We start from the raw sequence: 15,955 nt of genomic DNA, 5'->3' as shown, positions 1-15,955 counted from the left end.
GGTAGTTTTATTTTATTTTAAACTTCTCTTCATGCTTGTGTGCTGTGGGTTAGATTAGGGGGAAAGGCTCTCTTCATAGGTATTTTGTTAACATTGAGAGATAAGGAACTTAGACAATATCAGAACCGTTCCTCTTCTCAGTCTGTGAAATAATTGTTCTTGTTAGTTATGCCTTTTTCTTAGACATGCAGTAAATGGCATGCTAATTTAAAAGCTTAGCAAATTAATTTTTTTCTGTAAAGGATATTTCAGTTTATTTGTAGAAAACAATTAAATCTTAGGGGAGTATATACTCTTTAGTAGTTATCTTTTTAAATCCTTAGTATATTTTTGGGGGCACTTTAGAAAACTATCAGATTTACCTAGATCTACTCCAATATAAACCCCTGAAATTAATTTAAAACCAAGACCAGAGGTTAAGGCAATTTAATAGAACATTATTGTTATCCTTTTGTCCTGAAAACTATATAAGAGGGAAAATAAAACGTTTCCTTGAATGTTTATTTACAAGTTCCTGGAATTTAAAAGGTAGCAGTTTTTGTACACCCCCACCCTCCGCCCCCACTTTTTGATAAGTAGTAAAACATATCCAAAGCTATTAGTCCTGGAAGTTATAACTTAGAAAGTGGTATAGAAATGAAATTGAATTATAATGCCAAATTCTATCTTTAACATTTTGTTGCCAAGTTTCTGTTTACATATTTGATAAATTTTACCTTTTTGCAAAATTACGGAGACTTCCTAAGTTTTTCCTCAATGATTTGGGTGAATCTCATAATTTATTTGATTATGTGTAATTGATTTTTAAATATTTATTATTGTTATATATAAACTGCCAGTATGGAAATTGTCTATATACATTTTCTGTGGAAAAGGTAGTTTGAGTTTTTAGCTAGGAGGAGATTTTAGAGAAAATGATCATTAATTTGTTTGCTGTTCTCTAATTTACTCATGTATACAGTAACACAGGAGTATCCTGTATGCTAGGCCTTAGACCAGAGTCTGGAGGATTTGTCTCCTGCAGCCTCTACATCTTTCAAAGTTATTTTTCATACTGTGTCTGCAATTTTTTTCCTGAAGTGCTATTTTAATATGTGCCTTTATTATGTTTCTATGTATTATGATTAACTGTCCAATCATTGGTATATTTATATAGTGCCCTTCAGGATAATGACTCAGAATCTCAAACTATGTTTTACCTTAATATCGATGTAAAACTTTCCTTCCTTAGTTCCAATAATTTATTTTCCTCATGGCATCCTCCAAGCCCTATATTAAAAACATATTATCTATGAAAGAGTTGGCTCATACCTGTAATCCCAGCACTTTGCAAGGCTGAGGTAAGAAGGTTGCTTGAGCCCAGGAGTTTGAGACCAGCCTGGACAACATAGTGGGACCCAGTCTCTACCAAAAAAAAATTTTCTTTTAATTAGCTGGGCGTGGTGACATGCAGCTGTGGTCCCAGCTACTGGGGAGGCTAAGGTGGGAGGATGGCTTGAGCCTGGGAGACAGAGGTTGCAGTGAGCTGTGACTGCACTACTGCCCTCCAGCATGGGTGACAGAGTGAGGCCATGTCTCAAAAAAATAATCATAATATTGATGTATCTACTCCCAGTATTATCTGTTAAGGGGTTGAAGTCATCCACCTAAGATAGAAATATAAATTTCTATACTGATATTAATTTGGCAAATAAATATTGGCAAATATTACATGCTAGGTACCATGGTAGGCCCAGGTCATAGAACTACTGTAAGGAAAACAAATTTCTGCTTTCATGGCACTTGTATTTTAATCTAGCACATTAAATCCTTTGCCAGTCACAGGCAACTGGGGAACTGTAAATTGGATGGGATAGACAGTAAGGGAGAGATTGCTAGGAATCCACTGTCAGTGCAGGTATGGGTGACAATGACTACAGAGTAACCAGAGTTGCTGTGCTGGTAAGGTATGTGATCAGATCCATGGGGTGAGGTCATTGTATTTCTTGAGAGTCCATTGGCATCTCTGTAGACATTGAGGAGGCTATTTGTGTAGGGATCCATACTATTGCAGCACATGCCTATGTATTTTTCATTTTCCTATCTCTGTATTTTGGCCCTCCTGCCAAGCCATGTTTTGGCCACTTGGCTCACCTCATCCTGTCCCTGATTTTCCATTTCCAATGTGAGTCTCAAGCTTCAGTTGCCAGCTAGCAGCAGCCATTCTTAGGAGAGCCTATTAGGATTGCCTTGCCCATGAAGGCTCATTTTGTACTTATTTTATATTTTTGCTCTTTAGCATTTTCTGTAAATCTTTTGCTACAGTTAAACTGGGACAACAGAAACATTTTCATCCTATGATAATGAAGCAATAAAGAGAGGAGACATGTACTGTCTTCTTGGTTTTATAAGTAACTTAAGTGTACTCAGAATATCATTCTTTAGTATTCTCAAATGTTTTTGATGTGCTACTAATTTATATTTAGTTTCTTTCTGTTCTTCAGAAGGTAGCTATGACCTATGGCTAGACAATAAAAATTATCTTTACCTCTGTAATAATTGATGGTTTCCACAACCTGATGCCTAAAGAAATGCTTATTATATATTTGGCGGTTGATAGGTAATATAACTCATATAATTATTACTCTTTTAACTGCAGGTATTCCAGAAAGAAGAGATTGAACCCTTGCAAGGTAAACAGCAAGATGTAAACTGGTTAGGTCAAGGCCTTATTCAGAGTGCTGCCAAAAGCACTAGCACTCAGGGCTTGGAGCATGACCTGGATGATGTCAATGCACGGTGGAAGACTCTCAATAAGAAGGTAATTTTCTCACCCCCTTCATTGCTATTTTGCTGATTATTATTCATGAGCATTTGTGGTGACCATGAATCATATTTGTGGTAGCCAAACTTTTCTAAATATGTCTACTGTTTTATATTACTGTAAACTGGATGGCTCAAACTCAGATGCCTACTGGAGCTAGGTAGGGAATCTAAATGAAAGGAAGCAAACTGGGTAAGACAGAGCCTCTTCCTGCTGTTATCTCGCCTTTAATCAAGACAGGGTCACAGATACAACAGTGCAGGTATGATGGGCACATGCATCTGTAAAGGTACAGGTCACTACTTAGTTCCAGAAGATCATTGACATGTAGGCATGTAGGCCCACTGTTGCCAGATATTCTGTTTACTTTCAAAATAACCTGGAAATCTCACTTTCTATGTGAAACCTTCCTATTTTCAAATATTAGCAACTAAGTTCACACCATACAAACAAAGTTATGTCTTTATGTCATTCCTGGACTAAGTCCTGCTACCCTCACTGTAGACCATCAGCCCTCAATTACTTGTAAGATGTAGGTCCAACCTTTTTCTAAATTCCCATGAGAGAAAACACTAGAAATAATGCTCTGATGTCTTAGGGAGATAATGCTGACATACGATGGCAGGCAGCTCTTACGAGACATAAATTATCAGAAAATTATTATGGGATGGCAGTGCATATCTGGTTGTGGCAGTGGTGGTTACTCTTGTTGTTTTCTTTCGATTGACATCTTCAGCAGGTACCAGGTCTTGAAACTATATTATTCATTCTTTAAAGTCTGATACATATGTGTAGTGCACCTTAAACACAGTTGGAATGCTGTATCAGGTGTAAATATAATCCATAGCACTTACAATATCTTGCCAGCTACTTTATTCAGTCCAAAAGGAAAATATCTGTTGAGACAAGCAATAAGATATCTCTATGTAGGACACAGAGACTCCATTTACTGGTAGACAAAGGGCCTGGTTTGTTGAAAAAAGACTCCAGAGCTTGGAGCTAGCAGAACTTAATTGGATACTTTTGTTATTCTTGCCTAGCAAAATATAATTCTGATTCTCTCTGCTATAATAGTTCTGTTTATTCTTAATCTTTTAAAAATCATTATCTCTGATATTTATTAGAAGGAAATAAAATGCAATATTGATAAAAATGACTAATGTGCTGTTTTTTACGATAACTCTAAAATATTTGAATCATTCATTGCTAATCATAAAACGTATTAGACAATCCAAAAACCTCCAAGATTGAGTGCTCTATGTTGACTGTGATGGTAACCTTATTTTCATGCCTACTTGCTTAAAGTTTGTCTCCTTTTCACTGCTATCCTGCCTACTATCGATACTTTGGGTAAATTTTAAGTGAAAAGTAAAAGAAAATTTGTGACCACACGGGAAAATAAGCATGTAAAATAGTGATTTGTGCTCAGATTGCATTATTTTGTGAAACAAATAAATAAGTGGAAACAATTGGCACTTTGCAGGTGGCTCAGCGAGCAGCCCAGCTGCAGGAGGCCTTGCTGCACTGTGGGAGGTTCCAGGATGCCCTGGAGTCCCTGCTCAGCTGGATGGTGGACACTGAGGAGCTTGTGGCCAATCAGAAGCCCCCGTCGGCTGAGTTCAAAGTGGTAAAGGCCCAGATACAAGAACAAAAGGTAAGTTAGTCATGCTTTTGTATTGCGTTTCATATTAAATCTTAATAACAAGAGAAAAAATGCAAATTGTGACTCTTTTAATTAATAGGATAACCTAGTTAACCGGTTGTTGCTGCTGTAGACATTATTTTGTTAGTCATTCGACAAATATTTATTGAACATCTACCATGGGCCAGGCCTTGTTCCAGTTGCTGGGAATATATCCTTGAATAAAAAAGATGAACATTTCTCATTGAGTTCAAAGCCAAGTGGGAAGGGTGTGCCAGGATTGAAAGACAATAAGTAAAGTAAATAAATGAATGGTGATAAGTTAGCAAGTGATGAATAAAGCAGGGATCGGGGAGAGGCATCAGGAAGCAATAGAGCAAAGATGAGGGACCTAAAGTGCTGGAATGGAGGGAGGGAGGGGGTGTGTGTAATTTTAAATAGGGTCATGAAGGGAGGTCACTGACAAGATGGCATTTGTATGGAAATAACATTGTTCCCTTATATATTAGGTTGATCCCTATGAAATTGTCTTTTTATATATTAAATATTGACAGCTTCTTTTGGTTCCACCTATTACTAAAGAGACAAATATTTGATTCATATATGCTGAGGAATGTGCCATTGTGTCTTTTGACACTACTAAAGTGGGGCCAATTTGGGAAAATAGTGTCTTCAGAGGGTTGATATGTACCTGAGACTGACCACATGATAGTTTTTGTGCCCCTGATAGCAATGGTCGGGTATGAAGTATTTAATACCACTTTGAGTAGTAATCAGCCAGCCATGACTTGAGATGACATGTGGGAAGGATCCTAGAGCATGGCGTACTGTTAAGGTTTCTCCCCTCTGGAACTTTAAAAAGAAGAGGATGGATTATGTTAATTACGTTATTTTAAAACTCAAAGAAATTTTTTAAAATTTTACATTAATTTTTTTTAATTTATAAAAAAGACAACATTTTAAATTTCTCTTTCTGTACCTGGCTTATTTCACTTAGCATGGCTGCTAATAATGTACTGTATATTTCAAAGTTGCTAAAAGAATAGATTTTAAAGGTCCTCACCACAAAAAAATGATGAGTAGGTGAGGTGATGGATATGTCAATCAGATTGATTTAATCATTCCACAATGTATACATACATCAAAGCATTGAATTGCACCCCATAAATTCAATTATTATTCATCAATTAAAAATGGAAAAAAACAAAAAATTCCACATTTACCCTCAATTTTTTTTTTGTATTTAAGACTTACTGCTTACTTTAATTTCTACATTTAATACTATCTCCCTAGAAGTTTTTGAAAACTTCAGCATATTGGGAAATTATACCAATTAGAAATAGATTTAGAGGTAAGGATTAAGGACACATAACTGGAAACACATTGCATTTGTGCGATTTTTGCATAATACAGTGTCTACCATTCACAATTTAAAGTTAACTCCCAGAGTCATGATGCTTAGCCAACAAAACCTATTAATTGATTTTGCTTTTTTAATTGCTAGAAGCTTTATTATTAAAATGTATCAAAGTAATTAGTTCTCCTTGCTGCCAAAGCACCTGTTGTACTTTGATTATATCATGACTTTAGTATATAAAAACCTGTGCCAACACAGTTTGTATGTCTTACCCTTCTCTTTAAACAAGTTCCTCTTACCTTCTGCCTTGGTGGTCCTGATCTCAAAATACTCTTTTAGCTTTTTACTTCTGGGTAACTGTCAAATCTTTACTCCTTAATTAGCAGTCAGGATCATTAAGGAAGCAGTGAAGCATAGTGTTTCATACACTTACGCCTTCCTCATTGCTGGTAGCACAGTGCCTGTGCACAGCAGTTGCTCATGAGCCATTTGTTTGATTAGATTAGAGCAAGGTAAAAGGCTAATTATAGCAAACATTTCATTTCAGGTGCTTTGAAATGTTTAATTAGAATCAAATTGAATTTTGTTTCTGGTGCTAAATCCTGAAATATTAGTCTTATTTAGCCAGCTTTGGAGATTTCTGACATCTTCTACCCTCTCTTCCTGTTGCCAATGATGTGTAAAAGCTGTTTTAGTTTGCAGCCTCACACAGATTTTAGGAGCCAGTTCCACCTAGTAAAAGGAGCCAAGAGCCTCTCGTTTTAGCCTTGTTAACTTGTGAACTTGGGCTGAGTCTTAACTTCCTTGTCTATAATGGATTGTTTAACGTGGGAAAGGGTTTTGAAAACAGTAATGATTTATAGGAACCTTTTGTATCTTGACAGGACAGATAGTTGTTGAATGTTTAAGGCAGTCTTATTTCATTCCGATAATGGAGATTTTGCACTTTTTTCATGATTCATTGGAGTTATCCTAAGTGGCACCTTCTACCGTATTATTCTATATTAAAAAATTAGTAATGAGTTTAGTGGCCTTACCAATATTAGTTTTGTCTACTGTGAAAAGCCCCTGCCACAGTGTCTGACCCAATAGTAATAAATCATTAAACAAATGAGTTACCTTTAAAATCTCGCTTTTCAGATCCTTTCATATGTGCATACATACAAAATACATTTTTGTCATACTTCAAATGTACTTAGAATACATTGTACTTTATATTCATACAATTATTCCCTTGCTTTTTTATATTTAATGTTTTGTCTCAAGCTTCTCCAGAGATTGTTGGATGACCGAAAATCTACGGTGGAGGTAATCAAACGAGAAGGAGAAAAAATTGCTACAACAGCAGAGCCCGCAGATAAAGTGAAGATTTTGAAACAGCTCAGTCTCTTGGATAGCAGATGGGAGGCATTGCTTAATAAAGCTGAAACAAGGTAACTTATATACTTCCAGTTCTTTTGAAAGAGTAGCAGTGGCCTCTGTCTACAAAACTGACATTTTGTATTTTGTTAATACTTCAAATCATGATTTTCCTATGTTTATCATGTATGTGAACAGAGATAGCAAAGATTGTAGTGCCTCTTTCCTCATTCCTCTAATGGTAATGGCTTGTCACCGCTATATCCCAACTTTTTAAGACAAGCATTTCCCTTGGGAGTGATTACTTCATTTGTTTATTACATAGTTACTGCCTGCTTACCATGCATCAGGCACAGAGTTAGGTCTTGTGTTATAGGGGTGAGCTGGGCAGATCATCTCTGTCATCAGATAGGGTACAGTCTAAGAGGGTTTATAGCCATTGAGAAGTAATGATAAATGTGATGTCTCAAAGTTGAAATACAGGTTGCTGTGGGAGCATATCACAGGAAGAACCTAGCCTAGGGGCAGGGAAATGACAGTTAAGCTAAGTTTTAGAGGGGAATGGGAGCTAGGAAACAAAGAAGGTGGAAGGGTGCTCTAACTTCATGAAGGCTAGGAAGCCTAGAGCCTGGCTCCACTGGGTGTTTGTTCTCAACAATTTTATTACAAAACCCCAACCCATATTTCAGTATCTGCATTGATGCCGCCATTGACTAGCCATAGTAGTAGCTACATTGAAGAGTAGTCACCTAGGCTGGTTGGGTTGAAATAGATGAAAATAGAAGAATCACTGACCTGAGTGAGTATGTTATATAAATTCCCACCTTCTTTGGAACCAGAATAGTGAAGAGAAGGATTTGTCTAAACTTCAAATACAGAGTATAATTAATTATAGCTTTAGGGCCATAGAATAAAGTGCTCCCAAAGAGGTGAAAAATCTCATGTTGTCCTCTGATATGTGTCAACAGATTAACCGTTCTGTGTAATGCCCTGGGAGCTGTGCCCTGGCTGCCATGGGAGATACTCTCAGTAATTTTAAAATAATAAATGAGTGAATGTCTAGATCTCTGCTTTACTACCATAACTAGTCTTCTTTTCCTAAAACTTTCTTCACAGAGATATTAAATTGAGGGATATTGGTAATGGTTATGATTCATGCCCAGATTTATTGTGGACAGTTTAAATCATAGTAAGTGAAATCCCATCACAGAATAGTTATTTCCACTGATTTTAGATGATTGGATATTTGAATTTAGAAGAAAAGGTCACAGATAGTGATAATCCAGAGGTAATTACGAATATAGTAATTTTATTCATTTTTAGGATCAAATATATCAACTGAAAGTTTTTAAAAATGTGTGTGCATTGTGATATGTTATAGAAATTATGTTTAATAGCTTATGCCAATTTTCTGTAATTCCCTTCTTCTTCATAGAAAGCTAATTTTTCAAAACATGTAATTCCCTGAAAATTAAACATGATAAGAAGTTAAGGCAGCAATATCTCTTGATCCCAGCAGAAATTATGTATACAGGATTTGATACTGAATCAGGTACTCCGTATGCAGACCAGAACAATAGCTTGCTCTAGATAAATACTGAGGACAGCGGAAACAGGTTTTAGCTTTAGTCCTCTGCAACTGAGGAAACGTATTTCCAAAGATATTTTAAAGTACCAGTAAAAGTCCAATGAATACTTCTCCCCTGTTCATGATATTTTAATCCATAAAATATTAATATTGCTTTTGGGAAGTAAACCTAACCCTGCGCTTTTATAAAATAGGAATCACTATTAATTCCACTAAGGAGAGGAGGAAGAAGCTATGTATGCTCTTCAAAATTTGAAACCAGTTTTGACCATTTGATTAAGAGCAATCTCAGTAACTGTTGCTCCAATTGAAATTAATATATAAAGCACTTAAAATGGGGCCTGGCACAGAATATGTGTTCAATAAATTTTACCTGTTGTCGTTACTATTACTGCTGTTATTATTATAACATTGCTGTCATTATTATAACTGTAACTATTGGAAGTATTGTTACAGAAGATTACTTCAGACTTTCATGAGATTCAGGAACTTGAGGATGATCTGTTGTTCAACTTTAATTTTTTTTAACAGAAGAATTGTTTTAATATGTTCTTTAAATGTTAAGAGATTTAAATTGTAACCTTAGATAGTTTCTACAGAAAATGTTTAGAATAGATTGCAAGAGCATGACTGAAGATTTTTGTTGAATATTTCACACATTCTTCATCCCTAAATGACCTTTTGGCACATTTGTAGGAATCGTCAGTTGGAAGGTATCTCGGTGGTAGCACAGCAATTTCATGAAACCTTAGAACCACTGAACGAGTGGCTTACAACCATAGAAAAGAGGCTGGTGAATTGTGAACCCATAGGAACCCAAGCATCTAAACTTGAGGAACAAATTGCACAGCACAAAGTAAGATATAAATCACACATTAGCGAGGTTCAGTTTTTATTGTGTGGTTTTGTGACATAAATTTGAGTTATGTACTATTGTTTTGTTTAATTGCAAACTAAATCCATTTAACATGTCATGCTTTAGTTTTATTTATGTTTTCATTTTTATTTGTCCATTCTTTTTGTTTTTCTTCTTTATTTTTTTAAACTTTGCTTAGGCCTTAGAAGATGACATCATCAATCACAATAAACATTTACACCAGGCTGTTAGCATTGGCCAGTCCTTAAAGGTTTTGAGCTCCAGGGAGGATAAAGATATGGTGCAGAGTAAATTAGACTTCTCTCAAGTATGGTACATTGAGATTCAAGAGAAAAGTCACAGCAGGTCTGAGCTCCTCCAGCAGGCCTTATGTAATGCTAAGATTTTTGGGGAAGATGAAGTTGAACTGATGAACTGGCTGAATGAAGTGCATGACAAACTGAGCAAGCTCTCAGTCCAGGATTACAGCACTGAGGGGCTATGGAAGCAGCAGTCTGAACTTCGGGTATTTTGATTTATTTTATTTTATCTTATTTTTTCATTTCAATTGTCATTATTTCTTAGTCCTTATTTCTGTACAATTTTATGTTTATGATGATTTCGATGAATTGCTGTACTTAAAAAAAGACTGTTTATACAGATTACTTTTAATGAAGTCATTTTAAAGAAAAGAGTGACTCTATCCAATTAGCTGGATATTTCACTTTTCATTTTGTTATTTTATTGTTGTATACAAAGACCTGTATTAACCAGTACTTCAGTATGTCCACAAAGCCCATTTTCATAGGGCCCTAAGTATTTTCTGAAAAGGAATATGCTGTGAATTATGGTAGATGAACATGGGACATGGGCCACAGAGGTGAAAAGAAGAGGTCTAAACATGGGAACAATAAGAACATTTGAAAATGTGAGATATTTACTCAAATATGTCTCTGTGAAATCTAATTAAAGTTCTCTGAGATTAACTAATGTTAATGCTAACTTAAATGTTTTTCCCCCCACATAAAAATGGTACCTGTGTTTTCAGGTTCTGCAAGAGGACATCTTACTCAGGAAACAAAATGTAGATCAGGCTTTACTAAATGGTTTAGAACTACTTAAACAAACCACAGGTGAGATATCTTTCAAATCAAATCATCATGTGGTCAGCATTTTATATTGTTTTCAAAATATTTTAGGGATGGGAAAAAACCAAAACACTTTATAATTTTTGGTCCATTCCAAGACTTTTATTCTGGAGAATGCTTTGAAGACCAATCAAGGGGGTGGTTAGGATATGATCTCACTTTTTTCTCATGATCTCACTTGAGTTCTTGATGGAAGTTGTGTGTATTACTCATAACATAAAGCACTTTGGCACAGGAGCTCATCAGAGAAGCCCAGGACAGAGTCACATTACTTTTCCACTTGTGGAAGGCAGATGAACACGTAGGTTGTAGACAATTTCTTTTTAAGATAGATCGCATTGCAGTGACACACAGTATGGCTACGTGCATAGCTATACATGGGCTTCATTTCTTCATGTCTGAATCACCAAGAAAACTGATACATAGTTTAGTATCTAGATGAGATTTTTAGGACAACTCAGGGAAACTAGTTTTAGTGATTCCTTTGGCCATAGGAATTTCACTATACCTATATTCAGTTCAGCAATATGTGTATGTTGGGGGCAAGTACCATTCATTATGCATTGAAGAAATTAAATGTAGAATCAAGAGCCTTTAGTTAGAAGTCTGAAGCCCAGGACACAGTTTTTCTGTGTGTCAAAAAATGAGGTAGAGGCAAATAAAGATCTGTTGGAATAGTGCAGATGAGTAATGATGAATAACTAAGAGCAGAGAGGCTAAGTATCTTGCCCAAAGTAACCCAGCTTTTAAGCCATGCATGAAGTCAGTATTTGAACTCAAGCAGTTTTTAACCTCTCTTCTTTGAAAACAAAGTCTCATACAGATAGATACAAAAGTACTGCTTTCCACATAGCTAAAGACATTTAGCCTTTTCCAGTTCCTACATTTGTATTTTCAGAGTGATTTAGATTTGCTGGAAATCTTGGGAAAGATTAAAATTTAGAAAAGGGCTTCTCTTGAGTAAGATTATCTTTAGAAAAATGTCTCCTTTTGTTCTGTGGAAATTTCATCAGTGTTCCATAATATCTGAAGAAACCCTCTCCCTGCCTTTTTTTTCCTTCATAAGAAATAACGTGACTTTGAAATTTTAGGTGATGAAGTTTTAATAATTCAAGATAAATTGGAAGCCATTAAAGCAAGGTACAAAGACATTACTAAACTGAGCACTGATGTGGCCAAGACTCTGGAACAGGCGCTGCAGCTTGCAAGGCGGCTGCACTCCACACACGAAGAGCTGTGTACCTGGCTGGACAAAGTGGAGGTGGAATTACTTTCATATGAAACTCAGGTTCTGAAAGGAGAAGAAGCAAGTCAAGCACAAATGAGACCAAAGGTAAGCTCTGATTTCTGCATTTTGGATTAGTCTTTTATCTTTTAGGCAGTCTTATTCACACAAAAATAAAATTATATTTGTCTTATGTCATTACATATGCTGAAGGATGCCTTGGTGGGTGGAGACCCAATAGAAATTGGCAGCAGATCAACTGTTTAAAGTTTTAGGAGCCCAGAGATGAAAACAGTATGTTATAATTGTTGCAAGAGTCTTATATTTGGGAGTATAGTTTATTACCCAAGGGACAGAATGATGAAAACAGAAAAAAAAAAGGAAAATGATCATTGTTTCAGAGACACACATAATTTGGTTGGAATACCAATATTTCTATAAGATAACATGGGGTGGGTTTTCTAATTATATCACAAACGTAATACACTGCATGGTAATCATTCCTCTTTTCCAAGATATCAGCCTCTGTTTTTATCATCCTTGAAGTATGATCACATGTGGGTGAAAGGGAGTTGGTGAGGTCAGGCTCACTGAGCCTGTAATGATTCTACTGTCATGATATAAAGCCAGTTTGTCATCATTTTGAGGGTCACTTAATTCTGGCTTGGAATATCCTCTTCATTTTACTTTTCTGTTACCTGATTACTTAGAGGTTCCCAGAAAGCAAAGAATAATACAAGTTAACTTGCTTGTTTTTGCTTCTGAAATTTTAAATATTTATATTAAATTTCAAAGATAAAATCTTGCCGTGTCGACAAATGAATTGTTCTTTGAACTTCTCAGGAAACATTTTTCTTTTTGCAAAATAGCTTTAGATAAAAAAGGTTTATTTAACTCGACTGAAACTAAGGGAGGGGGGGAGTGGGGCAAAGCATCACATTATTCGCCTGCAAAGGACTTGAGCTCCAAGAACAGTTAAAGGAAAAGTCTGTTGAAGCTCTTAAGTGTTACTAACTTATTTGTATGTTTTCAGGAACTGAAAAAGGAAGCTAAGAACAACAAAGCCTTACTGGACTCCCTTAATGAAGTGAGCAGTGCTTTGCTGGAACTGGTACCATGGAGGGCAAGAGAAGGACTTGAGAAAATGGTAGCTGAGGACAATGAGCGCTACCGATTAGTGAGCGACACCATCACTCAGAAGGTGGAGGAGATCGATGCAGCCATTCTGCGATCACAGCAGGTAGGGAAAAATGGTTTGTTGTTTAGGCAATAAATTTTCTCCAGCTGTTCTTGGAGCTTTTACCTGAACAAAGATGACTGTTAATACTGTTTCCATTCATTTGCTGTGCTTCCAAAATGAAAGAGTGGATTTGAAAAGAAGTTGACTGGGCTTCTTCGACGTCTGAGCACCAGGGCAAGGCTAATCTGCACATTGTTCACAGCCATCTGCCTCATTGTTTCACAGATTTATCCTTACCAAGTCAGACACTGCGAAGATCAGCCCAGCTTTCCAAACAAAATGCTTTTGTCTACACATATGCATATTGCTGATATTAATTTTTATGTATTGACTAAGTCTAATCTGTATGTGAGTAAATACTGTGAATTGTTATGTAAGTCAGTATTAACTGTTCATTTACAGAAAGCTGGGGCAAAGAGAATGTTTTCTTTTTAAAAAGGAAGCAGTTTTGTTGGTAATGTGAAGTTTTTTTCTGAAGATGACAGAAGGGGGGAAAAGATGATAGGTTCCAATTTGTCTATAACTCCTGCAGAATGTATACTCCAAGAGTTTTATAGGCATTCAGCCCTTAGCCACAGCTCCCTGGGAAGACTGTGGGCAATGAGTGGGGTCCTGGAGATAGAAGTTCGTAATATAATACATGTGTTGATTAACTTTAGTTGAAATTTCTGTGAATATTTATATTAAGTCATCACAGTTACTACAAAGTTTATGTGTGGGGGTAGTATGATATTGCACTGTACTTTAGAGCAGAGCTTGTGATGGTGTGTGACTAAGCTTTTACTAGTATGAGCCAAAAGCAAGAGGCATAAATCAAGCTGATTCTGTGGGAGCATCCAGAATTAATTTTCTAATGTTGCCATAGAAATGGAATTTATAGTTAGTTCTAAAGCATAATGTTCTGCTCCTCATTTTAGTGCTGTGCTCTGGGATCACAACAGCTGATGAAATGCAGTGATAGCAAAAGCCCTGGCTAAGAAATTTTTGTGAAGGAGGGCATTCATGCTTGAGGAATGTATTTGTGTGACTCTGTTTAAACAGAGGAGTTTGTATGCCTCATTTTTATAGGAAAATGAGGGTGTTTATTTGTGAAGTTTATTTAACTATTGAAAAATATATTTTTTTCACTGAAATGTATTTGAACGTTTCCCAACTGGCACTGAAGGCTTCTCTAAACAGCAAGAAAATTATTCTGTACTCTTGGGAGTAAGAATTTCTTGAGAAGTTGACTGTGGTTGGCTGGTTCAGTAAAGTGAGGAAGTAATAAGGGCACAGTCACAGATTGAGTTTTCGTTGGTTAGTAATCTCTGATATATGCCAAGGTCATTAACTGTGGCCAGGTTCTTCAAGGTTTTGCGTATGTTTTCCAAAGGCATGGGGGAAAGTAAGTCAGTGTAAGTCTTCCGGAATCCTTTAGGAAAATAATGATTTTTTTTTTCTGATAGAATTAGTCCTTATTTAAAATTTCAAGATTTTCTCAAAGAATATAGAAAAATTCATGAAAGAAAGCATATGTAAGCAATTTGGTCTGTATCCTTCCAGTCTTCGTCTTGAAAGAGGAGGAGAATTTATATAGTAAAATCCTTTTGAAAGTGAAAGACAATGTATATAGTAAAAGTCTTACTACCAACAGATTACACATCTTAATGCCACTGATATCTTCTGGTTGTTCATGTGTGTATTTTTATCTTCATTTCTTTGAAATACCTGCAAGTCTGTCCAATGAAAATACCTCCAATAAGGCTACATAGACACACAGATGTTTAGAGCTGGGAGGAACATGCCCAGCATGCATGGGATAAAGTGACTTGCATGTGGTCTCACAAGCAGTAAGTGGCAGAGTAGCAACTAAAATTTAATCCCTATCTCATTCTCCCTCACTGCTGTGCCTCCTCATAAATTATATATAGAGAAAAACCCTTGAGGGTGGTAAACCATTTTTTTTCTAAAATTCTTCAATAATCCGAAGGTTCCATTATTACAACAAAGTGGAGGTATCTAATGAAAATATTTCCAGCTGTAAAGACTGTGGAGGATGAGGATACAACACTAAAAGGATCATAAAACATTACCGTGTAGGGAAACGTAAGAATAGAGTAGTAGGTACCTGTCTTCCTGGTGTGGCAGAGATTTTGCACTTAAAAGATAAGTTTCCAAACTCATAATTTTCAAGTTTATAAAGAAGCTAATATATCCCTGAAATATTTTATAAGGTTGCCTACTTATAGATGTTTGGAATTAGGACCAGAGTACAGTTTGATAAAAATGTTTGTTTTCTGTTTTACCCAATAACTACATCCATGAAATATAAAAAGGAGTGATTAAAAAAAGCATATCTTTAGACCTGGACATTAGCCACGTATTTTGGACTATCTGTTTTGCATTGTTTAAACAAATTACCATTCTGAGTCTCTTCTCTGTATGAAATAGGGACACGATATGACCTGAGCTCATCTTTTTAGACACACCTTTAGTCATATGCAATTTGTTTTATTAACAGTGACTCTTTCCCCAGACCCCTGCCCCCAGCCTACCAACAGCCACACATGATGGGGTAAGGACATGTGTCTTGAATAATACTTAACAATTTTAAAATTTATAGATTTAATGATTTGTCCCAGTTAAATCAGGGAGAGTTAAATTAGATTTTCAATGACTAGGTGTTCTGTTTTCTGAGCAGAAATATCTCTTAAGATACTTCATATTTTTTCCCAGTTTTAAGGTTGCATATATACAG

At 36.0% G+C, this 15,955-nt stretch overlaps 1 protein-coding gene across 10 annotated transcripts in view, besides 2 other annotated features; it reads left to right on the top strand.

Annotated features, from left to right (window-relative positions):
• The window catches only part of DST (dystonin), a 496,835-nt gene that overhangs the window by 415,252 nt on the left and 65,628 nt on the right, over positions 1 to 15,955 (top strand). For 8 of the 10 annotated variants that reach the window (NM_001144769.5, NM_001374722.1, NM_001374736.1 and 5 more), the window contains 8 exons: positions 2,639 to 2,800; positions 4,287 to 4,457; positions 7,069 to 7,235; positions 9,446 to 9,605; positions 9,805 to 10,131; positions 10,654 to 10,738; positions 11,845 to 12,086; positions 13,012 to 13,218. In NM_001144769.5, the coding sequence (NP_001138241.1) occupies positions 2,639 to 2,800; positions 4,287 to 4,457; positions 7,069 to 7,235; positions 9,446 to 9,605; positions 9,805 to 10,131; positions 10,654 to 10,738; positions 11,845 to 12,086; positions 13,012 to 13,218 (1,521 nt within the window). The remainder of the gene's footprint in view (positions 1 to 2,638; positions 2,801 to 4,286; positions 4,458 to 7,068; positions 7,236 to 9,445; positions 9,606 to 9,804; positions 10,132 to 10,653; positions 10,739 to 11,844; positions 12,087 to 13,011; positions 13,219 to 15,955) is intronic. The other 2 variants (NM_001374730.1, NM_001374729.1) reach the window with 1 other exon arrangement.
• Positions 3,849 to 4,348: an enhancer, noted in NCBI's record as "H3K4me1 hESC enhancer chr6:56400029-56400528 (GRCh37/hg19 assembly coordinates)". NCBI's record gives its function as "activates a minimal SCP1, AML or CMV promoter by ChIP-STARR-seq in naive H9 embryonic stem cells {active_cell/tissue: H9 hESC(naive)}" and the evidence as "EXISTENCE:reporter gene assay evidence [ECO:0000049][PMID:30033119]".
• Positions 4,349 to 4,850: an enhancer, noted in NCBI's record as "H3K4me1 hESC enhancer chr6:56399527-56400028 (GRCh37/hg19 assembly coordinates)". NCBI's record gives its function as "activates a minimal SCP1, AML or CMV promoter by ChIP-STARR-seq in naive H9 embryonic stem cells {active_cell/tissue: H9 hESC(naive)}" and the evidence as "EXISTENCE:reporter gene assay evidence [ECO:0000049][PMID:30033119]".

This window comes from Homo sapiens, chromosome 6 (assembly GCF_000001405.40).
Source record: "Homo sapiens chromosome 6, GRCh38.p14 Primary Assembly".
Lineage (NCBI taxonomy): Eukaryota > Metazoa > Chordata > Mammalia > Primates > Hominidae > Homo > Homo sapiens.
This window is presented reverse-complemented; position numbering and strand designations above follow the sequence as displayed.